At 45.6% G+C, this 25,637-nt stretch overlaps 1 protein-coding gene across 81 annotated transcripts in view, besides 6 other annotated features; it reads right to left on the bottom strand.

Moving 5' to 3' along the window:
* Positions 901-1,489: an enhancer, noted in NCBI's record as "NANOG-H3K27ac hESC enhancer chr11:68400876-68401464 (GRCh37/hg19 assembly coordinates)". NCBI's record gives its function as "activates a minimal SCP1, AML or CMV promoter by ChIP-STARR-seq in primed H9 embryonic stem cells {active_cell/tissue: H9 hESC(primed)}" and the evidence as "EXISTENCE:reporter gene assay evidence [ECO:0000049][PMID:30033119]".
* Positions 1,490-2,078: an enhancer, noted in NCBI's record as "NANOG-H3K27ac hESC enhancer chr11:68400287-68400875 (GRCh37/hg19 assembly coordinates)". NCBI's record gives its function as "activates a minimal SCP1, AML or CMV promoter by ChIP-STARR-seq in naive and primed H9 embryonic stem cells {active_cell/tissue: H9 hESC(naive and primed)}" and the evidence as "EXISTENCE:reporter gene assay evidence [ECO:0000049][PMID:30033119]".
* Positions 2,079-2,668: an enhancer, noted in NCBI's record as "OCT4-NANOG-H3K27ac hESC enhancer chr11:68399697-68400286 (GRCh37/hg19 assembly coordinates)". NCBI's record gives its function as "activates a minimal SCP1, AML or CMV promoter by ChIP-STARR-seq in naive and primed H9 embryonic stem cells {active_cell/tissue: H9 hESC(naive and primed)}" and the evidence as "EXISTENCE:reporter gene assay evidence [ECO:0000049][PMID:30033119]".
* Positions 11,762-12,292: an enhancer, noted in NCBI's record as "NANOG hESC enhancer chr11:68390073-68390603 (GRCh37/hg19 assembly coordinates)". NCBI's record gives its function as "activates a minimal SCP1, AML or CMV promoter by ChIP-STARR-seq in naive and primed H9 embryonic stem cells {active_cell/tissue: H9 hESC(naive and primed)}" and the evidence as "EXISTENCE:reporter gene assay evidence [ECO:0000049][PMID:30033119]".
* PPP6R3 (protein phosphatase 6 regulatory subunit 3) overlaps positions 19,563-25,637 on the bottom strand; it is a 154,583-nt gene continuing 148,508 nt past the window's right edge. For 43 of the 81 annotated variants that reach the window (NR_147971.2, NR_147969.2, NM_001352362.2 and 40 more), the window contains 2 exons: positions 24,874-24,993; positions 19,563-21,831 (listed from right to left, as the gene is read on the bottom strand). Coding sequence is in view for 74 of the 81 variants with exons in the window: in NM_001352362.2 (NP_001339291.1) it covers positions 21,780-21,831; positions 24,874-24,993 (172 nt within the window). In the remaining 7 variants the exon portion in view is untranslated. Of the gene's footprint in view, positions 21,862-24,873; positions 24,994-25,268; positions 25,425-25,637 lie in introns of all 81 variants that reach the window. The other 38 variants (NR_147966.2, NM_001352379.2, NM_001352364.2 and 35 more) reach the window with 5 other exon arrangements.
* Positions 24,403-24,902: an enhancer, noted in NCBI's record as "H3K4me1 hESC enhancer chr11:68377463-68377962 (GRCh37/hg19 assembly coordinates)". NCBI's record gives its function as "activates a minimal SCP1, AML or CMV promoter by ChIP-STARR-seq in primed H9 embryonic stem cells {active_cell/tissue: H9 hESC(primed)}" and the evidence as "EXISTENCE:reporter gene assay evidence [ECO:0000049][PMID:30033119]".
* Positions 24,903-25,404: an enhancer, noted in NCBI's record as "H3K4me1 hESC enhancer chr11:68376961-68377462 (GRCh37/hg19 assembly coordinates)". NCBI's record gives its function as "activates a minimal SCP1, AML or CMV promoter by ChIP-STARR-seq in primed H9 embryonic stem cells {active_cell/tissue: H9 hESC(primed)}" and the evidence as "EXISTENCE:reporter gene assay evidence [ECO:0000049][PMID:30033119]".

Genomic DNA, 25,637 nt, shown 5'->3' with positions numbered 1-25,637 from the left:
CCTTCCAGAAAAGCAGGAAAGGGGTTGGGGCGTGGAAATAAGGGGTTGGGGTGCAGAGATAAGAGGTCGGGGTGTGGAAATAAGGCATGTGGTGCAGAGATAAGAGGTCAGGGCATGGAAATAAGGGATTGGGGTGCAGAGATACGAGGTTGGGGTACTTGCCCCTCCTCTAGAAAAGCGGGACTTGCCACTCAGGGTGAAGGAGAAGGGGTTGGGGTTTCTTGCCCCGCAGAAAGGTGGAGAATGGGTAGAGACACGGAGAGAAGGGGTTGGGGTACTTGCCACTAAGGGCGAAGGACCAAGGCAGGCGTCCCTGCATGGTCTGACACCTCTGAAACCTGGGTGAATAATCAAAGAGGCACCCCTGCAATGATTAAACACCAAGGGAAGGCTGCCTTCCCTAGTCCGTGACCGGCGCTGGAGTTTTGAGTCCATGGATAAAACGTGTCTCCTTTCTCTCTACCAGAAAATGAAAGGAATTGAAATTAAGAGAAGGGAGAGATTGAAGAGTGGAAAGGAGAAAGTGGTTGAGGGACAGTGAGAGAGGTTGGAGAAGAGAGTAAGAAGAGGCCACTTACCCGATTTAAAATTGGTGAGATGTTCCTTGGGCTGGTTGGTCTGAGGACCTGAGGTCGTAGGTGGATCTTTCTCATGGAGCAAAGAACAGGAGGACAGGGGATTGATCTCCCAAGGGAGGTCCCCCGATCTGAGTCACGGCCCCAAATTTCATAGGCGTCCATGTGAAGAGACCACCAAACAGGCTTTGTGTGAGCAATAAAGCTTTTAATCACCTGGGTGCAGGCGGGCTGAGTCCAAAAAGAGAGTCAGCAAAGGGAGATGGGGTGGGGCCGTTTTATAGGATTTGGGTAGGTAAAGGAAAATTACAGTCAAAGGGGGGTTCTCTGGCAGGCAGAGTGGGGGTCACAAGGTACTCAGTGGGGGAGGTTTTGAGCCAGGATGAGCCAGGAGAAGGAATTTCACAAGATAATGTCATCAGTTAAGGCAGGAACAGGCCATTTTCACTTCTTTTGTGATTCTTCAGTTACTTCAGGCCATCTGGGCATATGCGTGCAAGTCACAGGGGATGCGATGGCTTGGCTTGGGCTCAGAGGCCTGACAACCACACCTGGCTAATTTTTTAAATTTTTTGTAGACATGGGGTCTCGAATTCCTGGGCTCAAGCAGTCCTCCTGCCTCGGCCTCTGAAAGTGTTGGGATTACAGGCGTGAGCCCCGGTGCTCAGCCTGTCTTTTATTTTAGAAGGTGTAGTAGACAGACGTTAAGGGAACCCCATGATCCCTGCTTCCAGGTATTCATGTCCTTGTATAATCTCCCCTGTTGATTGTGGGTGGGATTTGTGTGCTACAGTCTAAATATTGGTATCCCCCAAAATTCAAATGTTGAAGGTTGCAGCCCGATACAATAGCATGAAGAGGTGGGGATTTGGAAGGTGTTTAGGTCATGAGGACTCCACCCTCACAAATGGAATTGGTGCCCTTATAAAAGAGGTCAAAAGGCACCCCTGCCCCTTCTGCCCCGTGAACACACAGGAACGAGGCTCCATCGTGGAAGCAGAGGGCCAGCCCTCACCAGACACCAGATCTGCTGGCACCTTGATCTTGGACCTCACAGCCCAAGAACTGCGAGAAATAAATTTCTATTGTTTATAAAGTACTCAGGCTAAGGTATTTTGTTAGCAGCCTGAATAGACAAGATATCGTAATTGCTTCTAACTAGTAGAATACAGCAAATGTGATGAGATATCATGCCCATGATTACATTAAGATTTGGGCTAGAGGAGACCTTAGCCTCATCAAAGGATTACATTCTGTGTGTTTGAGGCCATATTTACCTGCTCTAGCAAAGATACCACGTCTGGTGCAACAGCGCCACCAGGGCTATGAGCTAGTTAAGTCGGCTCTAAACTCTAGTTAAATTCAGTGTCATCTGGCTTCTGCAGGCCAGACCGGAGAATTAAATGGAGACGTGATAGGAACCACCCATCCTTTAGATCTTTAAGTGTGGCCATTATTTCTGCCCTCCTTTCTGCCACCCACTCACTCCTCTGTAATGCAATATGTTTTTCAAATGTGGTAAATTTCACGTGCATCCGTGTGAAGAGACTACTAAACAGGCTTTGTGTGAGCAGTAAAGCTTTTAATCACCTGGGTGCAGGCGGGCTGCGTCTGAAAAGAGAGTCAGCGAAGGGAGATAGGGGTGGGGCTGTTTTATAGGATTTGGGTAGGTAAAGGAAAATTACAGTCAAAGGGGGTTTGTTCTCTGGCAGGCAGGAGTGGGGATCTCAAGGCGCTCAGTGGGGGAGATTTTGAGTCAGGATGAGCCAGGAAAAGGACTTTCACAAGGTAATGTCATCACTTAAGGCAAGGACCAGCCATTTTCACTTCTTTTTGGTGGAATGTCATCAGTTAAGGCGGGGCAGGGCATATTCACTTCTTTTGTGATTCTTCAGTTACTTCAGGCCACCTGGGCGTATACGTGCAAGTCACAGGGGATGCGATGGCTTGGCTTGGGCTCAGAGGCCTGACATTCCTGCCTTCTTATATTAACAAGAAAAATAAAACAAAATAGTGTTGGGGCGGCAAAAATTTTTGGGGGGTGGAATGGAGAGAGAGAACGGGCGATGTTTCTCAGGGCTGCTTCAAGCAGGATTAGGGGCGGCGTGGGAACTTAGAGTGGGAGAGATTAAGCTGAAGGGAGATCTCATGGTAAGGGGTGATATTGTGGGGTTGTTAGAAGAAACATTTGTCGCATAGAATGATTGGTGATGGCCTGGATACGGTTTTGGATGAATTGAGAAACTAAACGGAAGATACAAGGTCCGAATAAAAGAAGGAGAAAAATGGGTATTAAAGGACTAAGAATTGGGAGGACTTAGGACATCTAATTAGAGAGTGCCCAAGGGGGTTCAGCGTAATTACTTGCTTGGTTGGCAAGTTTTTGGGCTCGATCCTTGAGTTTTTTTATGTTGTCATACACTAGGCTAGATTGATTTAGGTAAAAACAACACTTTTCATTTAAGAATATACAGAGTCTTCCTTTTCCAGCAGTGAGTAAGTCAAGGCCTCGGTGGTTTTGGAGGACAACTGCAGCTAAAGAGTCATCTTGGGCCTGGAGGACTGATAAAGTTTGTGATATGTCTGATGCTAGCAGAGAAGTCATTAGACAGGCTACGGAAGGTCATGACAGAGGTTGAAATGCCTGCTATTCTAATACTGAGAGCAATAGTGAAGGCAGAAAGTCTTTTTTTTTGTCATGTCGGTGTCATGAGGGGAACAGGGAGCTTTTTGGTGCTATTTACAAATTGAATTTTGGGAGTAAGGAAAACTAGTGTGCATGTGCCTGTCTAATTAGCAGGTAGACACATGTAGGTAGAGGATCTACAGAGGAAGAAGAGACCTTGTGCGAGGCAAAACTGGAGATGTAAAAAGGTGAGAAGGAGTGCTGAGAGGGGTGTGTTGTACTTAGACTCCTAGGGATCCAGCTGGGGCGGCAGCTGTCAGAGGTTGTAATGGGGACTGATGGGGTAACTGCGTAGAGGAGGAGGTTCAATTTTCATGTTGTATGAGAAAACGTTGAGTATCTACGAGAAACCTTTCACTGTTATTTTTGGGGCTGAGTATAAGTAAACAAGAAGAGGGCCTGGGAGGAGAGTCTGATGAGCAAGGGGAAGGTAGCCAAGGATGGAGTGAAATACAGGGTAAGTGTCTTCCTAAGCAATAATTACTGCTAACGTTTTTAAGTTTGTCAGTATTGATAGAGGGCTTGTCTGTAATACAGAGCTGGAAGGCTTTAATTGTTTCAGTGATGTGTGTAGTTGGGCTTCGGAGATGAAGAGTAAAGGAACATCGAGAAGGTGAAAGATTACCTAGGGGAATTCCGGTAGGTCTTTGCCAAGAGATACATAAAGGAGCGGCCACAGGAATAGTAGTTTGTGTTGTAAGAGGTCCAAATATGAGGGGAGTAGAGTTAATATAAGGAGAAATGTTTTTTAAATAAGTGCGGAGGAGGGCGGCATCTTGCTGATGTGAAATGTCTGGGGAAGTTTTGCTGGACTTGTCTAGAAAGTAAATGAGTTCTTCAGGAGGGTAAAGGTGAGGGCTGTTAAAGGAAGTTTGGAGGTGTAAGGAGACAGGAGATGTTGCCTAGTCTGTCTGTAAGGTGGGGACAGCTGTGTAGGCACTGGAAGAAAGGGAAATGCAAAGCCAGCAGTTGTTCACTAAGGAGGGATTAGAGGTGGCTAGGAGGGAATGGGTAAGGTTGATAGTGTGGTGGAGATAGCTGGGGAGAGGTAAAGGGTGGCATAAGAATGAGAATGAGAATAAGAGTGAGTATAAAAGTAAAGAATAGAACTTCATCAGGGTGGAAGTATTGGAGGGTGCCCTGCCAGCAAAGATCATCTACTTACTTTAAGAGGGAATTAAGAGTGGCAGTTTGGGGATAGCACCAAGGGATATCAGCTGTGATGGCTTGAAGAAACAGTGTAAACTGGCAGTGTAAACAAGAGTAGGGCATTTATAAGTAGTTGAAAACGGAGAATAGGAGTATGACTAGACAGAAAATAGTATGGATGACAAGTTTTTTGGGGCTCGGCCTAAGTGGTGGGGGTAACTTCTTTGTTGCAAAAAGTAGGGTAAGGACGAACAGACCTAATAGAATGAAGGGATGTATTAGGCTCATAAGGGTTATTACTGTTCTTCAGAAATAGGAGTGAGTTTAAGGGAAGTAGGGGAGAGTACTTGCAACTTCCAGGAGGAAGAGGAGGGATTAGGCTGGCTGTCCGATGGACACAGCTTTATTCTGGAATGGTGAACCTAGTGGGGAGGATCCTGCAGGCGGACGGCAGTCAGGGTACTATAGATGACTAAGTAGGGTCCGGTCCATCGAGGTTGTAGAGTTTGAGGGGTCAGATTTTTAACAAGAACTGATCGTTTAGCTAGGGTGTCTTCTTATGGCTGGGGATCTGGAGTAGGCAAGAGAGGATTACAGCTTGGTGAATTTCCTGTCTAGCCTGCTGGAGGACTGGAAGATAGTCGCCTAGAGGGCTGGTGTCTGGGATGAGGTTGGGGCTAAGCAAGAAAGTGCGTCTATATAAAAGTTCAAATGGACTGTACCTTGTAGCATCTTGAGGACAGGCTCTAATTCTGAGAAGGGCAAGAGGTAAAAGTACTAACTAATCTTTTTGAAGTTGGTGGCTGAGCTTGGTGAGGTGTGTCTTTAAAAGACTATTAGTCCTTTCTACTTTTCCTGAAGATTGAGGACTGTAAGGGATATGAAGGTTCTACTGAATACCAAGAGCCTGAGAAACTGCTTGGGTGATTTGACTAGTAAAGGCTGGTCTGCTATCAGACTGTATAGAGGTGGGAAGGCCAAACTGAGGAATTATGTCTGACAGAAGGGAAGAAATGACTGCGGTGGCCTTCTCAGACCCTGTGGGGAAGGCCTCTACTTATCTAGTGAAAGTGTCTACCTAGACTAAGATATTTTAGTTTTCTGACTTGAGGCATGTGAGTAAAGTCAATTTGCCAGTCCTGGGCGGGGGCAAATCTTTGAGCTTGATGTGTAGGGAAGGGAGGGGTCTGAACAATCCTTGAGGGGTAGTAGAATAGCAGATGGAACACTGAGAAGTGATCTCCTTGAGGATAGATTTCTATGATGGAAAGGAAATGAGAGGTTCTAAGAGACGGGCTAGTGGCTTGTAACTTACATGGAAGAGGTTATGAAATGACGACAGAATAGAATGGGCTTGTGAGGCTGGAAGGAGATATTTTCCTTGGTCTAAGAACTATTTGCCTTGTGTGGGAAGAGATTGACAGGTGGAAGTTTCAGCGGGGGAGTAGGTGGGAGTGACTGATGTGAAGGAGAAAAACTGGCCGTGAGGGACAGAAGTTGCAGAGCTAGCTGCTTGTCTAGCTACTTTATCAGCATAAGTGTTGCTGTGAGAGACAGAATTTGGAAAGCTAGCTGCTTGTCTAGCTACTTTATCAGCATAAGTGTTGCTTAGAGCAATGGGATCTGACGCCTTTTGATGCCTCTTGCAGTGAATGACTCCAGCTTCCTTTGGAAGTAAAGCGGCCTTGAGTAGAGTTTTTATTAAAGAGGCATTAATGATGGAGGACCCTTGTGTAGTGAGGAAACCTCTTTCAGCCCATATGACCGCATGGTGGTGCAGAATATGAAAGGCATATTTAGAATCAGTATAGATATTGACGTGTAGTCTTTTTGCAAGAGTGAGGGCTTCAGTTAAGGCAACTAGTTCGGCTTGCTGAGAGGTAGTGGAGGCGTGCAGAGCGGTAGCCTTAATGATAGATGTGGAAGATAGTATAGCATAGCCTGCCTTTGCTGGTGAGTGGTGATTAGGCCTGGTGGAACTGCCATCAGTAAACTAAGTGTGATCAGGGTGAGAAATAGGGAAGAAGGCAATGTGGGGAAATGGGGTGAACGTCAGGTGGATCAGAGAGATGCAGTCATGAGGGTCAGGTGTGGTATCTGGAATAATGTGGGAGGCTGGATTGAAGTCTGGGCCAGGAACAATGGTAATTGTGGGACTTAACAAAGAGTGAGTACAGCTGAAGGAGCCAGGGAGCAGAAAGTATATGTGTCAGGTGTGAGGAAGAAAATAGATTTTGGAAATCATGAGAGCTGTAGAGAGTGAGTTGAGCATAGTTTGTGATTTTGAGGGCCTCTAAAAGTATTAGGGCTGCAGCAGCCGCTGCACAGAGACATGATGGCCAGCCTAAAACAGTGAGGTCAAGTTGTTTGGACAAAAAGGCTACAGGATGCGATCCTGGTCCTTGTGTAAGAATTCTGACTGCACAGCGCTGCACTGCGGCTGTGTGTAATGAAAAGAGTGGGGATGAGTCAGGGAGAGCCTGGGTGGGGGCAGTCTCTAAAGCTGTCTTCAAGGAACAGAAAGAGGAGTGGGGAAAGGATTTAGGATCTATGGGGTCAACTAGGGTTTTTTTTGTGAGTTTATATAATGGTTTTGTTAGGATGGCAAAACTAGGTATCTGAAGGCGAAAGTATCCAACCATGCCCAGGAAGGAAAGGAGTTGTTGTTTTGTAGAAGGGGTTGGGGTTTGAGAGATCAGTCGGACACGATCAGCAGGGAGAGCACATGTGTTTTTATGAAGAATTATGCCGAGGTAGGTAACAGGTGGGGAAGAAATTTGAACTTTGAAGGGGGATACCTGATATCTTTTGGAGAATAAATGCTGAAGAAGCAGAAGTGTGTCTTGTTGAGAAGATTCAAAGGAGGGGCTACAAAGAAGAAGATCATCAATATATTGAATAAGGTGAGAAGCGGAGGTGTGGAAAGAAAGTAAATCATGAGAAAGAGCTTGGCTGAAGTAATGAGGGCTGTCCTTGAAACCTTGTGGCAGCACAGCCCAGGTAAGCCGCTGGGACTGATGGGTGTCAGGGTCAGTCCAGGTGAAAGCAAAGAGAGGCTGGGACGAGGGGTGCAGGGGAATAGTGAAAAGGGCATCTTTAAGATCAAGAATGGAAGAGTGAGTTGTGGAGGAAGGTATTGAGGACAAAAGAGTGTACGGGTTGGGCAGCACAGGGTGGATAGGCAAAACAATTTGGTTGATAAGGCACAGATCCTGAACTAATCTGTAAGACTTGTCTGGTTTTTGGACAGGTAAAATGGGGGAATTGTAAGGAGAGTTTATAGGTTTTAGAAGCCCATGCTGTACCAGGCGAGTGATAACAGGCTTTAATCCTTTTAAAGCGTGCTATGGGATGGGATATTGGCGTTGAGCGGGGTAAGGGTGGTTAGGTTTTAATGGGATGGTAATGGGCATGTGATCGGTTGCCAGGGAAGGAGTAGAGATGTCCCATACTTGTGGGTTAAGGTGGGGGGATACGAGAGGAAGACGCGAAGGAGGGTTTGGGTTAGAAGGGCGGCAATGAGATGCGGCTGTAGTCCAGGAATAGTCAGGGAAGCAGATAATTTGGTTAAAATATCTCAGCCTAATAAGGGAACTGGGCAGGTGGGGATAACTAAAAAAGAGTGCATAAAAGAGTGTTGTCTAAGTTGGCACCAGAGTAGGGGAGTTTTCAGGGGTTTTGAAGCTTGGCCGTCAATACTTACAACAGTTATGGGGGCAAAGGAAACAGGCCCTTGGAAAGAAGGTAATGTGGAGTGGGTAGCCCCCGTATCGATTAAACGGGATGGACGTACCCTCCACTGTGAGAGTTACCTGAAGCTTGGCATCCGTGATGGTCCAGGGGGCTTCTGAGGCGATCAGGCAGTGTCAATCTTCAGTCACTAAGCCGAGCAGATCTGGGAAGGAGTCAGTCAGAGAGCCTTGGGCTAGAGCTTTAGGGGCTCTAGGAGTGGCTGCCGGGTGAGCTGGGCAGTCTGCCTTCCAGTGGGTCCCTGCACAGATAGGACATGGCTTGGAAGGAATCCTGGGCTGCGGGCATTCCTTGGCCCAGTGGCCAGATTTCTGGCACTTGAAGCAAGATCGTGATGGAGGAAGTCTTGTAGGAATGCTTGACTGCTGAGCTTAGGTGTGTGCGGCTTAGGCATTCTGAAGTTCTTGAATGCTGGAGGTGTGGCTGGTTTTTTTCTCACAGCAGAGGCAAGTAATTGTAACTTAGAAATGTGTTGCCGTCTGGCTGCTTCCTCTCTATTATTATACACCTTGAAGGCGAGGTCGATTAATTCCTGTTGTGGGGTTTGAGGGCCAGATTCTAATTTTTGAAGTTTTTTCCTAATGTCAGGAGTGGATTGGGTGATAAGATGCATATTAAGAATAAGGCGGCCTTCTGGCCTTCCTGGGTCTAGGGCGGTTTAGCGTCTAAGGGTTGGCTGCTAAGTGGGCCATGAACGGGGCTGGGTTTCCGTCTTTACTTTGGGTAGTTTCTTTCTTTTTTTTTTTTTTTTTGAGGAATATACTTTATTTATTTATTTTTCATTATGATTATTATACTTTAAGTTTTAGGGTACCTGTGCACAACGTGCAGGTTTGTTACATATGTATACATGTGCCATGCTGGTGTGCTGCACCCATTAACTCGTCATTTAGCATTAGGTATATCTCCCAATGCTATCCCTCCCCCCTCCCCTCACCCCACAACAGTCCCCGGTGTGTGATGTTCCCCTTCCTGTGTCCATGTGTTCTCATTGTTCAATTCCCGCCTATAAGTGAGAACACGCGGTGTTTGGTTTTTTGTCCTTGTGATAGTTTGCTGAGAATGATGGTTTCCAGTTTCATCCATGTCCCTACAAAGGACGTGAACTCATCATTTTTTATGGCTGCATAGTATTCCATGGTGTGTATGTGCCACATTTTCTTAATCCAGTCTATGGTTGTTGGACATTCAGGTTGGTTCCAAGTCTTTGCTGTTGTGAATAGTGCCGCAATAAACATACGTGTGCATGTGTCTTTATAGCAGCATGATTTATAATACTTTGGGTATATACCCAGTAATGGGATGGCGGGGTCAAATGGTATTGCTAGTTCTACATCCCTGAGGAATCGCCACACTGTCTTCCACAATGGTTGAACTAGTTTACAGTCCCACCAACAGTGTAAAAGTGTTCCTATTTCTCCACATCCTCTCCAGCACCTGTTGTTTCCTGACTTTCTAATGATCGCCATTCTAACTGGTGTGAGATGCAATCTCATTGTTGTTTTGATTTGCATTTCTCTGATGGCCAGTGATGATGAGCATTTTTTCATGGGTTTTTTGGCTGCATAAATGTCGTCTTTTGAGAAGTGTCTGTTCATATCCTTTGCCCACTTACTTTGGGTAATTTCTTTAAGCTTGTCATAATTAACAGCTTTGTAAGCTGCCTTTTTAAGCCCTTCAACTAGGCAGGAAATCACGTAATCTCGCCTAGCTATACCTGGGGAATTTGCCTGGTAGTTCCATTGGGGATCCTCTCAGGAAACTGCTCTAATGCCTTCCTGGAGGCCTGGCTCGTGAAGCCAGCGGTTATCAGCGTGAGATTGGACTTGAGAAAATCTCTTTCCCGTTCATCTGGGGAGAGGGTAGAAGTCAGGGTGACATTTTAGTCACTTTAGGTTAAATTGTAGGACAGAGTTAAATATTGGAATTCCTGTATATATTTAGTGGGGTCTGATGAGAAAGAGCCTAAACGCTGACTGATCTGAGAGAGGTCTGATAGAGAAAAAGGTAAATGTACTTTGACTATGCCTTCAGCTCCAGCCACCTCTCTAAGAGGAAATTGTTGGGCAGGTGGGGAAGAACTAGTCACAGAACTAAACTGTAAGCCGGACAGGGTGTGAGGAGGGGAGGTGGTAGAAGGATTACAGGGTGGAGGAGAGGAGGCTGAGGAGGAATTGGGACTTGTCTTGGCAACGAGCAGCCTGGGGAGGAGGGGAAAAGTCAGATGGGTCTGTAGAAAAGGAAGACTGGAAAGACTCAGCAACGCTTGGGGTTGGGACTAAGGGGACAGGCGGGAGGGAAAGAAGGAGGATTTGGGAGGAATCGCATTGGGAACAGAGACTAGGGAGGGAACGAAGCGTGAAAAATGCCTGGACGTAAGGCACCTCAGACCATTTGCCTATTTTTCGACAAAAATTATTTAGGTCTTGTAGGATGGAGAAATCGAAAGTGCCGTTTTCTGGCCATTTAGAGCCATTGTCAAGTTTGTATTGGGGCCAAGCGGTGTTGCAGAAGAAGATAAGGCATTTAGGTTTTAGGTCAGGTGTGAGTTGAAGAGGTTTTAGGTTTTTAAGAACACAGGCTAAGGGAGAAGAAGGAGGAATGGAGGGTGGAAGTTTGCCTATAGTGAAGGAGGCAAGTTTAAAGAAAAGGGAGAGTAGAGACACGGAGGGAAGGGGTTCGGGGGTTCTTACCTTCCAGAAAAGCAGGAAAGGGGTCAGGGCATGGAAATAAGGGGTTGGGGCACAGAGATAAGAGGTCAGGGCGCAGAAATAAGGGGTTGGGGTGCAGAGATAAGAGGTCGGGGCATGGAAATAAGGGATCAGGGTGCAGAGATAAGAGGTCGGGGCATGGAAATAAGGGATCAGGGTGCAGAGATAAGAGGTCGGGGCATGGAAGTAAGGGATCAGGGCACAGAAATAAGAGGTCAGGGCACGGAAATAAAGGATTGGGGCACAGAGATAAGAGGTCAGGGCGTGGAAATAAGGGATCGGGGGATTCTTGCCCCCCAAAAAAGCAGAGAAGGGGTAGAGACACAGAAAGGGTTGGGATACTTGCCCCTCCCCCAGAAAAGTGGGACTTGCCGCTAAGGGTGAAGGACTAAGGCAGGCATCCCCGCGTGGTCTGACACCTCTGAAACGTGGGTGAATAATCAGAGAGGCGTCCCTGCAATGATTAAACACCAAGGGAAAGCTGCCTTCCTAGTCCATGACCAGCGCTGGAGTTTTGGGTCCATGGGTAAAACATGTCTCCTTTGTCTCTACTAGAAAATGAAAGGAATTGAAATTAAGAGAAGGGAGAGATTGAAGTGTGGCACCAAGATTGAAAGGAGAAAGAGGTTGAGGGATAGTGAGGGAGGTTGGAGAAGAGAGTAAAAAGAGGCCGCTTACCAGATTTGAAATTGGTGAGATGTTTCTTGGGCTGGTTGGTCTGAGGACCTGAGGTCATAGGTGGATCTTTCTCACGGAGCAAAGAACAGGAGGACAGGGGATTGATCTCCCAAGGGAGGTCCCCCGATCCGAGTCACGGCACCAAATTGCATGCGCGTCCATGTGAAGAGACTACTAAACAGGCTTTGTGTGAGCAATAAAGCTGTTTATTTCACCTGGGTGCAGGCGGGCTGAGTCCAAAAAGAGTCAGCAAAGGGAGATGGGGTGGGGCCATTTTATAAGATTTGTGTAGGTAAAGGAAAATTACAAAGGGGGTTTGTTCTCTGGCGAGCAGGAGTGGGGGTCTCAAGGTGCTCAGTGGGGGAGGCTTTTGAGCCAGGATGAGCCAGGAAAAGGACTTTCACAAGGTAACGTCATCACTTAAGGCAAGGACTGGCCATTTACACTTCTTTTGTGGTGGAATGTCATCAGTTAAAGCAAGGACCAGCCATTTTCATTTCTTTTGTGGTGGAGTGTCATCAGTTAAGGTGGGGCAGGGCATAATCACTTCTTTTGTGATTCTTCAGTTACTTCAGGCCATCTGGGTGTATATGTGCAAGTCACAGGGGATGTGATGGCTTGGCTTGGTCTCAGAGGCCTGACAGTAAAATATACATAACATAAAATATACCATCTTAACCATTTTTTAAAGTTACAGTTCACCTGGGTGCCGTGGCTCACACCTGTAATCCCAATACTTTGGGAGGCCAAGGCAGGCAGATCACCTGAGGTCAAGAGTGCGAGACCAGCCTGGCCAACATGGTGAAACCCGTTTCTACTAAAAATACAAAAATTAGCTGAGCGTGGTGGCTTGTGCCTGTAATTCCAGCTACTCGGGAGGCTGAGGCAAGAGAATTGCTTGAAACTGGGAGGCAGAAGTTGCAGTGAGCCGAGATTGCACCACTGCACTCCAGCCTGGGTGAAAAGAGCAAAACTCCATCTCAAAAAAAAAAAAAAAGTTACAGTTTAATGGTATTAAATTCCCCTAATGATGTTGTATAACCACAACAATCATCCGTCTCCAGCACTCTTTTCACCCGTAAAACTTCATCTCTATATCCATTAAGCATTAAACACTAACTCCTCATCCCCTGGCACCCACCCCTCTATTGTCTGTCTCTATAGATTTGACAACTCTAGGCACCTCAAATAAATGGAATTCTGTGGTATTTGCCTTTCTGTCACTGGCTTATTTCACTGAGCCTAATGTCCTCAAGTTTCATCCATGTTGTAGCATGTTGTACCATTTCCTTCTTTTTTAAGGCTGAATAATATTCCACTTTTTGTATACACAGCATTTTGCTTAGTCATTCATCTGTCAGTGGATACTTGAGTTGTCTCCACTTTGCAGGTATTGAGGATAATGCTGGCATGAACGTGAGTGTCCAAATATCTCTTCAAGACCCCGCTTTTAATTATTTCATATATATACCCAGAAGTGAAATTGTTGCATTATATGGAAATTCTATTTTTAACTTTTTGAAGAACCTCCATACTGTTTTCCACAGCAACTATACCGTTCTACATTCCCAAAGCACACAAGGGTTCTGATTTCTCCACATCCTTGCCAACATTTATTTGTGTGAGTGTGCATGTGTTACAGTAGCCATCCTAACGGATGTGAGGTGGTAGTTTGGATTTGCATTTCTCTAATGATTAGTGATGAGCACCTTTACATGTGTTTGTCCTTTGTATATCTTCTTCAGAGAAATGTCTATTCACGTCCTTTGCCCATTTTTGAATCACGTTGTTTCTTTGTTCTTGAGTTTTAGGAGTTCTAAATATTCTGGATATTAATCACTTATCAGACGTGATTTGTAAATATTTTCTGTTCTGTGAATTGCCTTCTTACTCTGTTGACAGTATTTTTTTTTAATTATTATTTGTAGAGATGGGGTCTCCCTATGTTGCCTAGGCTTGTCTCCATTTCCTGGACTCAAGGGATCTTCCCACTTTGGCCTCCCCAAGTGCTGGGATTACAGGCATGGGCCACTGCACCTGGCTTATTGACAGTATCTTTTGATGAACCACATTTCAAATTTTTCATGAAGTCCAATTTGTCTATTTTTTTCCTTTGTTGCCTGTGCCTTTGGTGTCATATCCAAGTAATCACTGCCACATCCAGTGCTGTGAAGCTCTTGCCCTATGTTTTCTTCTAGGAATTTGTTTTAGGTCTTAGATCCAGTTTGATTTTTGTATATAGTGTTACGTAAGGGTCAAATTCTGTTCTTTTGCATGTGGATATCCAGTTTTCCCAGCACCATTTGTTGAAAACACTGTCCTTTCCCCACTGAACGGTCTTGGCACCCTTGTCAAAAATCATTTGACCATAGGCCAGGCATGGTGGTTCACGCCTGTAATCCCAGTACTTTGGGAGGCCAAGGCAAGTGGCCACTTGAGGTCAGGAGTTCGAGACCAGCCTGGCCAACATGGCAAAACCCCATCTCTACTAAAAATACAAAAAGAATTAGCCAGGTGTTCTGGTGCACACCTGTAATCCCAGCTACTCAGAAGGCTGAGGCAGGAGAATCGCTTGAACCCAGGGAGTGGAGGTTGCGGTGAGCTGCACTGCACTCCAGCCTGGGCAACAGAGGGATATGTCTCAAAAAAAAATCATTTGACCATAAATGCCAGGGTTTATTCCTGGGCTTCTATTCTATTCCACTGGTTTATATGTCTCTCTTTATGCCAGTACCATAATGTTTTGACTACTGTAGCTTTGTAGTAAATTTTGAAATAAGGAAGTATGCGTTCTCTAGCTTTGTTCTTTTTCAAGATTGTTTGTCTATTTACGGTCCCTTGAGGTTCTCTATTAATTTTAGAATAGATTTTTCTATTTCTGCAAGAACATATCATTGGGATTTGGATAGGGATTACATTGAATCTGTAGATGCTTTGTGTAGTATTAACATTTTAGCAATGTTATGTCTTCCAATTCATATACAGGGAATGTGTTTCCATATCTTAATGTTTTCTTTAATTTCTTTCAGCCGTGTCTCGTAGTTTCTATTGTACACACCTTTCACTTCTTTGGTTAATTCCTAAGTATTTTATTCTTTTTATGCTATTGTAAAACGGATTATTTTTATAATTTCCTTTTTTAGATTCTTCATTGGTATCATATAGAAACACCACTGATGTGTGTGCATGTGTGTTCTGAGCAGGGTCTCACAATATTGCCCAGGCTGGAGTGCAGGATGTGATCATAGCTGACTGCAGCCTCAACCTCCCAGGCTCAAGTGACCCTCCTTCCTCAGCTTCCCAAAGTGCTGGGATTAGAGGTGTGAGCCACCGCACTCAGCTGATTTGTGTGTGTTGACTTTGTATCCTGCTACTTTGCTGAATTCATTTATTAGTTCTAATAGTTTGTGTGTGTGTGTGTGTGTGTGTGTGTGTGTGTGTGTGGACACTTTAGGGCTTTCTACATTTTCAAATCATATTATCTGCAAACAGAGATAATTTTACTTCTTCATTTCCAAATTGAATGCCCTGTATTTCTTTTTCTTCTTAATTTCTCTGGCTAGAACTTTTAGTGCTCTGAATAGAAGTGGCGAAAGAGGGCATCCCTGCCCTGTTCTTGCTCTTAGAGGATAATCTTTGTCTTTCACTAATGAGTAAAATGTTTGCTGTGGGTTTTTACGTATGGCTTTTACGTTGACGTAGTTTCCTTCTGTTCCTAGTTCGTTTGTGTGTGTGTTTTTTTTTTTTTTTTTGACAGGGTCTTGCTCTGTCACGCAGGCTGGAGTGCAGTGGCATGATCACAGCTCACTGCTGCCTTGACCTCCCTGGCTCAAGCAATCCTCCCACCTCAGCCTCCCGAGTAGGTGGGACCACAGGTACGCACAACCACGCCTGGCTAATTAAAAAAAAATTGTTTTGGCAGAGACAGGGTCTTGCCACATTCCCCAGGCTGGTCTTGGACTCCTGGGCTCAAGTAATCTAGTTGTAAAAAGTTTAAAGCTGGTTTTTAAAAAGCCCAACTTTCATCATTGGCAGGATGTGCGTTCTGATAAAATTACTCTTACAGCTAGAAACAAGACCCTTTCCTTGCATTTCTAATTGTTTTGTTCCACTGCGGTATTTATAGTTTGATGAAGAGCATCTTACCCCTGCACAGTGCTTTTAAACTCTGCTGTGCCTGATATGAATACTCTTATTTTCTGCTTGTACCCTATTTTTCTATCCACTTATTTTCAGCCTGTCACTTTTATGATTATTACATCAACAGCATATTCCTGGGTTCTAGTTTCAACCCCAATCTGACCACCTGTCTTCTAAAGAGAAAAAACAGATTTAGTGTAACAATGTATTTCTTGGTTTGTTTAGGAAAGGACACCAAGGTTCAGAAACAAGTGAGAATTAGGACTTGAAAGACAAATGGGCGGGGGGAACTTCTTAGTTTGTCTTTTGAATTTTTATTACTTTTTCAGAGATGAGGTCTCACTGTGTTGCCCCGGCTGGTCTCAAACTCCTGGGCTCAAGCAATCCTCCCGTCTTGGCCTCCCAAAGCACTGGGATTACAGGCGTGAGCCACCCTGCCCAGCCTAGAAAGCATTTTTGACTGAACCAAAAATGCAAATCCTCACCAAAATCTCTCAGTGAAGTCACTAAGCTCCCATTAGAGTGGAGTGTGGAGAGGCCAAGGGCACTCACCTAGTGCCAAGATCCCACAGAGAAACATGAGGCCAGGGCATGGGCACCTCCTCCCAACAGGACCCCGTGACTGGGCCTTTGAACCATTAGATGCAGCCCTGGAGCCGCGGTCAGAGCGTGGCTGTCCCCGAGAAGGGAAGCAGCAGCCGGCACGGCCTGTTCTCCCATCTTCACATCACTCCCTCCATACAAACCACTGCTTCCCACCGCCTCCTGTGACAATGCCTGGCGAGGTGGTCATGCCCCCTTCAGCCCTCCTGAAGTGCCCTCTGGGAAATAAGGCACGACGGACAAATGGATTCAACATCCTTTTCTTTTTAAAACTAAACCTTGCTTGAGGGGCATGGTTTGGATGAGTTCTCTGACTTCATCCCTGGATTAGACAAATGTCCCCCCCTGGTCACGGGCAGAGGACTCCATGAGACGTGTCTAACCCAGGGATGCAGACTTCTCCCTTCGGCAGGACAGAGTCTACTGTGTGGAAGAGGACGATCCGGAACGTGTCCTCTCCATGGGCGGGCAAATCCAGGCTGGAGCCCAGAGCATGCCCTGCTCCTCGGTCTCTCCTCCTTGGCGGGGTAGGAAAGGCAGTCCCGGGGCCACGGTGCATGCCATGGGGGGTGTTCTCCCTCACAATGCTTTCTATGCTGCACTTTTAACTTCTCCTTTTCCTTAGTTCTAAAAGATTAAGGTGCAAATCACATACAATCAAATGCATAGGTCTTAAGTGTAGGTTTTGATGAGTTTGGACACATGTATACGTTCACATAACCACCATCACCAACAAGCTGCGGAAGACTTCCCTCACCCCAGAAGGTGTCCCTGTGCTCTTTTCAGCCAATCCTTCTCTCTTCCCTGCCAGGAGAAAACACTATTCGAATTTCTCCCATCAATTCGTTTGGTCGGTTTTAGAGCTTCGTATAGATGCTTACATATCTTACTTCTTTTGCTTAACGCATTTATTTATTTATGAGACAGGTTCTCACTCTTGTCACCCAGGCTGGAGTGCAGTGGCACGATCTCAGCTCACGGCAACCTCCACCTCCCGGATTCAAGTGATTCTCGTGCCTCATCCTCCTGAGTAGCTAGGATTACAGGTGTGCACCGCCACTCTGGGCTAATTTTTGTTAAAATTTTAGTAGGGACGGGTTTTCGCCATGTTGACCAGGCTAGTCTTCAACTCCTGGCCTCAGGTGATCTGCCTGCCTTGACTTCCCAAAGTGCTGGGATTACAGGCGTGAGCCACTGTGTCCAGCCTTCAACGTTTTTGAGACGTATACACATGGCTGCATTCATCACGGTTCACCCCCGTTGGTTACTAAGTAGAAGTCCATCGTATGACTACACCAGAATCTGCTTATCCACCCTCCTGTTGTTAGACATATTACGAATAAAGTGACAATAAATATCCTTGTACAAATCACCTGTGGACATGTATTTGCACTGAGTATCTAGGAGAGTCTGCAGGAGTATGTCTAATTTTTTAAAACCTCCAAACCAAAAAAAGAATTTGCCCACTAGTTTCCTAAACTGGAAGTATTATTTTAGACAGTAATAGGTGAGTTCTAGCAGCTGCACATTCTCCTATCTGGTGATGTCTTTTTCATTTGAACACTAATAGATGGAAAATGGGACCTTTTTGTGATTCTAACTTGCCCTCCCCAGGAAGTGATGATGTTAAACAACTTTTCATGTTCTTATTGGCCACTCATGTATACACAGGTCCCTGACTTAAGACGGTTCAATTTCAGGTTTTTGGACTTTACGATGGCGTTTCGGAAGCATTAAGCTCTCAGCAGAAGCCACACTCTGAATTCCGATCTTTTCCTGGGCTGGTGATGGATGCGCAGCACAGTGCCCTCCTGCAGTACTGAGCGGTGGCAGGGAGCAGCAGTCCCAGCCAGCTGTGCCATCGCGAGGGGAAGTGGCCGGCATGGATCGTTAAGTCAGGGAACATCTGTCCCTTCTTCGTGAATATCTGTGTTCAAGTCTCTTGCTCATTTGTTAAATTGGGCTTTTCATCTTAATTTTGGTTTGCAGTTTTCTCCCCTATATCCGAGGTCTGAGTCCTTTGTCAGGACACACAGTGTGATTTCTTGCCTGGCATTCCGTTCCTTGCTTGTCCATTTTCAAGAGCAGAACATTTTCACGTTGATGGAAGCCCGATGTCTTTCTTCTACGGTATGTGCTCTGCATCCAAAGCAGCCTTCGCCCATCCCACATTTTAGATAATTTTTTCTTCTAAAAACTTCACTGTTTAAGCGCTCATGTTTGGATCTGCAATCTATTTTGGATGAATTCTTGTGTATGACGTGCAGTAGGAATAAAGGCTCATGTCTTTCCATACGGATAGCCAGTTTTATTCACAGACACAGGTGGTGGCCAGACCTGGCACACGGATGCAGCTGACCCTGGAAGCTGAAGGGCAGTGAAACCCATCTGATTAAGATGCTCAACTTTTCTGAAGGTAAAGGTTTTAAATAATAGGTGGGATTGAAGTGGAAATTTAGAAAGGCTAGCAGGTGACATTATGGGGTTAAGTGAGTAAAAGTTAGCTAATGTTTGTTAAACATTTACCGTAAGTAAAAAGCTATTCAAGTCTTTGAACTTGTTCCTATTGTTTCCCCACCCAACAGAAAAAGCTGACACCAAGACCTGCCTAAGGTCACACCATCATGAGTGGCTGAGTTGGGCTGTGATGAGCCACCCGGCTGGAGAGCTTGTGCCCTGGTTACACGATTGCCAGTGAGATGCCTATGGACTCGCATGTAGAGGTGGGTACCCAGACAGCTCAGAGTGAGCTGCCTGCGGGCCCAGCATGCAGAGGTGTGTACTCAGTGCTGTGTGAGATGCCTGTGGGCCCAGGCACGGAGGGATGCATGCGTGCCCAGAAAGCAAAAGGCTGTGCAGAGGACCTGCTAGGAGGTAATGACTAGAGAACATGTTTTTAAGCAAACAGGTGAAGGGAAAATGCAAAATAAGGAGCTACATAAGCATCACATCTTAAGAATCATTATGGAGCACCTAACTGTGACTTGTTGGGCTGGGAGCCAAACAACATAGGTGGGACACGCTGCACATAAAAGTAACAAGCTGGAGGTCCAGAGGAACCCTTGGAGCCGTCCCAAGACTGAGAGCCGGTGTCAGGCACCACCTCTTCTGGGCACCTGGGCTATGGCAGTGGGGAGGATGAGCCCCTGATCCCAGAGGCCACTCTCTCACACAGTGCAGTGCAGTCTTTCTCACACAGGACCTAGTGTAACACGGGACCTAATGGCAGGACACATCAACCCATTAAAAATCCAAGCAAGGTACAAGAGATTTCTAGAAACAAAGAATCAGGCTTTATTTTTGTTATTTTGAATACAGGTATTGTATTGTAGACATCTGTTAGTCTCATAATTCAGTATGGCCAACACACAGAAATTAAAAGTAGAAACAAAATGAGGGCACACTTGCTCCTGTCCTTGGCTTGGCCCCTCCAACCTCCAAAAGAACTGTCCTCCCCATTGTCATATCCTTTCCCTGCTACGAAAGACAAAACAAAATGATGCCCCAAAGAAAAGTCCCAGAGGCTCTCTCCCAGCAGTCAGTGGGATGAAGCAAGACACTGTTACCTTGGGTAGGATGGAGAAGCCACCAGGTCCATACCACAGAGGCCACAGTGGGATGGAGAAGCCACCAGGTCCATACCACGGAGGCCACGTGTGCCACCAGTGGAGCCAAACCCTGGCCATGGCTGGCAAAACTCACCACCAGGCGAGACCAGAGCATATTATCTACCAGTAATCCCCGAGGTCCAACGCCATTCAAGTCAGGCAGCCCTGAGGCAAGCAGGAGGAGCCCTGTCCTCTGGGGGTGCTGCTTCCAGAGGAGGCCCAAGGACAGTCTCTTCAGAGAGGGGCTCACCCGGGAAAGGGGGTTCCTGAGGAGGCGTGCAAAGGTCAAGGGACCCACCCTTGCCACCTGTCCCAGGGCTTACTGCTGACTCCACTGTCCTGGGAGTGCTGGAATCTCCACACCACTTAAAATGAAAAAGGAAATCAGAAATAATAAGGCATTAGACGTTTGATTCTTTTATTTCCATATGCAATGTAATGTTTAGGCACGCTGCTTGGGATGCTACTTCTAAAAAAATTGTTGGCCATTTTTCAGAATATCCTTTTGGTTTTAAATACTGGTCAGGAAAAACAAATGATGTAAAAATACGTGAATAATTTTCTATTACAGAAATGAAAAACTGATTTGCATCTAAAAGTGCAAGAGGTGAAGTAATTTAACCCTTTCACCAGACGATATGGCAATATACAATATATTGCTTGAGCTGTTTGAGAAGGCTGTGATGTATTTTTGTATTGACATAGAAAATTATAAATTACATTGAATTAGTATCCATAATCACTATATATATACACAAACCAGTTCTAAAAAAATACACTGGTTTAAATTTATGAGTGAAAACCTCACAAGGTACAGTAAACAATTAGCATGCTTCGGTGCCAGATTTTGATTTCTACTTTTAAAATACTAGCCTGTAAAATGAACGCACTCTAATTCCATTAGCAGCACGAGCATTTTCAACTGACTTGCCTAATAGGATTTATTTTAGGTCTGTTAAATATGCAGATTGCTCTGAAATGTTCATTGGTGATGCTTGTTAACAAGGTAAATTTTGGTGAATGGGTTAAAAGGCAGATGAACTACCAAATGAAACAAAAAAACAAACAAAAACAAAAGCCAAAAAAAAAAAAAAAAAATCCCAAAACACAAGCCATATACACTCCAAATAGTCTAGTGTTTCACTTGTAGGAATAATCATTTCAAGCAAACAAGACTTGAACAGAACATATGGCTTTACGATAACATCAATTTATCAACTATGATGTAGCAATAAATACTTTACTTAATCTCTACCAATAGACTTACATTTTTGATCCGTTTTAAACAATACAGAAAACAATTACCAATCAAAAACTGGTTATAAAAAGAACACCAAATATTTCTTATTCAAAATCACTTTTGTAAGTTAGAACAACCAAAATAACACTTAGAGGGCATTTTCATTCTACAACTCCTTGTCGGCCTGGAGGAAAAATGAATTCATAATTTTGTACAAGGTGAAAAATGTATGAAAACCGCCTAATACTTTGGTCACACTAATAATTGTCAAAGTTATGTTTCAAATACAATAGATCTGTGTATTCACTTTTATAAAACTATTCTTACAGCCATTTTAACTATAGTATTACTACTATTATTACATGGGTGGCAAGATCTTATTTCACAGGCTACCCATTATTTAGAACAATACAATATAAACATACGCAAAAATTCTTGGTATTTGTCAATGTGCAATATTTTTACACTTCTGAATTTCTCTGTACAATGTCTTAGAATCTAGAATATAAAGGTTGCTGGTCCTGATCCCTTGCAGAGTGAGTGCAGCAGTGACAGCTTGGTGGGCTCCAGCTGACCCCTCCAGAGCCCCTGAGTGGTGGCGGTCTGCAGTCCTCAGTCAGCAGCAGCAGACGTCACCCGTCATACAGGGCCATTCACTGAAGTGTCACCTGGTGCGCTTGGTTGGCCAGTCCTAAGGAGCAACAGACAGGCATCGGAGGCACTTGCAGCAGAAATATGAAAAACAAAACCTACTTAGCTGAGCTCCCCAAGGGCAGGGACAACTTATTTTAACATTGTTTTGAACTTAGTAAGTTTTTAATAAAATGATATGTAAATGAATGGAGCAAAAGCTCTAGAAAAATCTGAGTGAGTGCATCTAAGCTTCATCACCGGGTGAGCAGGCATTCAGCAAGGGCAGCAGCAGAGCAAATGCTCTGGGAGAACCGCCCCACCGCGGCCTCCAAGAAGCACAGGGAGTGACTAGGTCAGTGGGGTATAAACTGTGGCTTCCAGAGCCTTCAGGAGCTATGTGTTCACCGCTCCTTCAAGAAAGCTTTTATGTGACCCACAGATTGGAATCCACATACTATTTCACTTGGAAACAGGATTCTGCTACTAGGAAAGGGGGGAAAAAAGGAAAGGAAAGGAGGTTTGCAAATAAACTACTGGAAAAAAAAAAAAAGGTGTCCACTTGAAGAACATGTCCCACAAAGCAAATGTTAGGCTCAAAACTGGGAGGGAATAACAGGTGGGACAGTATATAACAAAGTGTCCAGGTTTTGCCTTCCTGCCAAAATTACAACCTGAATATATAACCTATTCGGGAAGGCTTGACCAAAATTGTATCAAGCAGACTTGGGAAAGGGTGCTTAGGGCCGTAACTGGGATGCCCACAAGCACTTTTCCACTAGCATTCACAATTTACAGCTAGAATGCTACTCATGCCTTATACCTGCTGGTTATACAGTGAGCCAAAAAGTCAGCTCTGCACACACAATCCACTCTGCTCACTTACTTACATCTGATGGTGGCTCCGTGTATGAGAGACATAGGAATCGAGACTTCTGGAACTAGACATAACTGGTATATAACTAACTTGCCTTCACTTAAACAAGCTGAGTGATCTTATAAGTAGATTTCTTAGCCCCTCTCAGTTCTGTTTTCTCCTCTGTAAAATGGGAAAAGAACCCTCCCCACGCCCCACAGGGCTTCACTAGTATACATATGAAATAAGTACATAATGTGTGCAGCATGCTCAGCACATCAGAAGCACAAAGGACATGCTTGATAAAACAGCTGTGAAAAGTGAGATCATGTGGCAATGCAGATCTTTAAGTGTGACAGGAAACAGCGCGCCTGCCAATCCAAGGAACTGTGGTATCTGGCTGGGACGGGAACCACACAGGAAAGACGGGTGAGCTTCAATATCCCATGCTGTCATACGTCACTTTAGAACACGTGCAATCTAGGACGCACTCTAGGTCTGCCCTAATGCCCACTCCAACGTCACCTCAGAGATCCTCTCCCCCGCACCCCAGCTCACATGGACCCCTGTCCCTTCTTCGTGGCTTCTTGATGAATGTGCCTCTAGTATGCCCCGAGACCACTGGGTGTCCGTGTGCTGCAGCTTTATGACCCGGCCTAGACCAGTGGCCACCACACACAAACGTGTGTCAGAGGAAAGAAGGACAGATGGATAAAGGCATGGACCCAAGTGATGCCCCTCTTCTTCCACTGGCTGACCCCATCTTTTCCTCCATCCCTTGGCCCGGCAGGTTAGGGCAGGGCTCTTCAGAGCAGGCATTCCCAGCCACAGAGGAGAGCAAGTGGCTTCCCCTTATGCAAACAATTCTTCTGTGCTCAGAAAGCCAAGGAAATGACTCCAGAGCCTTGTGCATCCTTATGACAGAGAAACCAAGAATATTCCCCTGAAGCAACTGCCCCAAACTGGGATAGACCTGGACGATCCTGCCTAGGCAGCCCTCAATATAAAGGAAATTTATAGGTAGAAATCAGAGAGCTGAAATAATTGATTGGGAATGAGACCTATAAAGGACCATTAAAAAATACATTGAAACCCCAAGAAAGAGAGTGACTTGCCCAATCCGTAGAAGCAGAGTTGAGGCAGCTTCCCAGTGCTAGAGGGCCACCCTGCCTCTTCCCCCAAAAGCCTTCACTAGAGCCAACATGCTCAAATAGTTCTTAATTTGTTTGTTTTATATGCAAAAAAAATATTTCTAATCACAAAAACAAAGGCTTTATTTTGGCTACAATTTCCACAGGAGGAACACAAACAGCTTGCTACACTGTGAATACAGGATTTTGGACCAACAAAGAGTGCTCCCTGCTGGTTCCCACTGGTTATGCTCTCATACAATGCTGGCAAGATTTGGGGGAGGATGGGGTGGGGGTGGGGGGTTAAAACTTCTCTGAAATAGCTTTAAAGGTCATTTTATTCCTTATGGAAGGAATATACAATCTTAGCTACATTTGTTCACAGAAGTTGATTGTGGGAAGTGCTGAACAAAGCTTCCTGTGGCCCAGGGGTGCAGCCTCATCTTTGGGCCATGCTCAGTCTTGCTAAGGGCCTGGCATGGGCTCCGGGTGGCTGAGACTTAGACTGGCCCATCCCTTCAGACCACTGGCTCAGGCTAAGCAAAAAGTGACTAGAAACAAAACATCACATTCTAAGTCACACAGCTCTGGGAGTGGGCATTTCATACTTAAGATTACAGGGAGTCACTTAAGCACTAAGAATTATTTAGCTACATGTATGAAAGGGCTCCAGCAAGTTCTCCTTGTGTCACACAGGGCAGGAATGTGGGCAAATAGGCACCACGATCTGCTCGTGCCTGGCGGCTGGATGACTTTAGTGGGGCCAATGAGAACTCAAGTCCTGGAGGGGCTCAATGCCACCCTCAGCTCAGTACCTCAACAACAAGGGTGAGGAGACCCCTCTGTTCGGAGCCACTTCTAAAAGAGCGAGTGATGTTAAAGAGTCTCTAAAAACTGGTTTTCAGTTTCTGCGCTAAGGAGAGGAACTGCTGTTTCTAAGTTCTCAGCTCAGTCGGACTCAGCTCATTAAGGACTGAGAAAACCCTGTCCTGCCAGGTCAGCGGCCTAAGACTTGAGCACAGCTGTAAACGATCCCTATAGTCCCCTCCCAACTCCCAGGAAGCAACAGGCAAGGTCAGGGCAGGGCCTGGGTGGGTTTGAGGAGGCGGGTGGTTACCTCTGCTCGGGACTGCTGCTGGGAGGCCTGGGCGCCGCGCACTTCGCCTCTGCAGTCTCGGGACACTCCTCTGCGTCTTTACAAGCAGCATCTTGAGAGGTAGACAGTTTCCCTTCCTCACTGCAGTAAAGAGGATGACAGGCACATCAAACACCCTAGGGACCAGCACCTAGGCACCAGAGGATGAGGTCACATGCAGATGGCTCTGGAGTCATGACTGCCGCGGAGGCAAAGCATCCTGGGACTGAGCATGCGCAGGGTGCACGATCACACAACCACAGACAGTGACTGGGGAATCACAAAAGGAAAGGGTCGCACACAGGTGGGAACCAAAACAGGGACAATGTAATGTGGCTGGCGTCTGATAAAGAACGGTCCCATAACACTGTACATACCGATAGGATTTCAACACTCTGAAGCCCAGTGTGCAAAACAGAAAAAGAAATGTACAAGAGTTTCAGAATACTCCTAGAAATGAGGAATTTGGGGGAATAATATGTCCACGACTGCACGTAAGCAAAACTGCAGACTCGGTGAAGGTGTCAAAGAACCTGTTTGAAGGAATGAGTCTTTAGTTAAAGCACTTTGCTTTTGGGGCCAAGCCCACCATTAAAGCAGCAAGACAGACCCCATCAGCTTGCTGGCTGGAAGCCTCAGTCACATGAGGTCACCGTGTTGACTGCATCGGATTTCACGGCTCCTCGAGTTGCCCTCGAACAATGTGTGAGAAGCACAAACGCCAGAGGGAGAAGAGGGGGCCAAGA

This window comes from Homo sapiens, chromosome 11 (assembly GCF_000001405.40).
Source record: "Homo sapiens chromosome 11, GRCh38.p14 Primary Assembly".
NCBI classification, from domain to species: Eukaryota; Metazoa; Chordata; class Mammalia; order Primates; family Hominidae; genus Homo; species Homo sapiens.
Note: the sequence above shows the minus strand (reverse complement) of the source record. Positions and strands in the feature narration are given on the sequence as shown.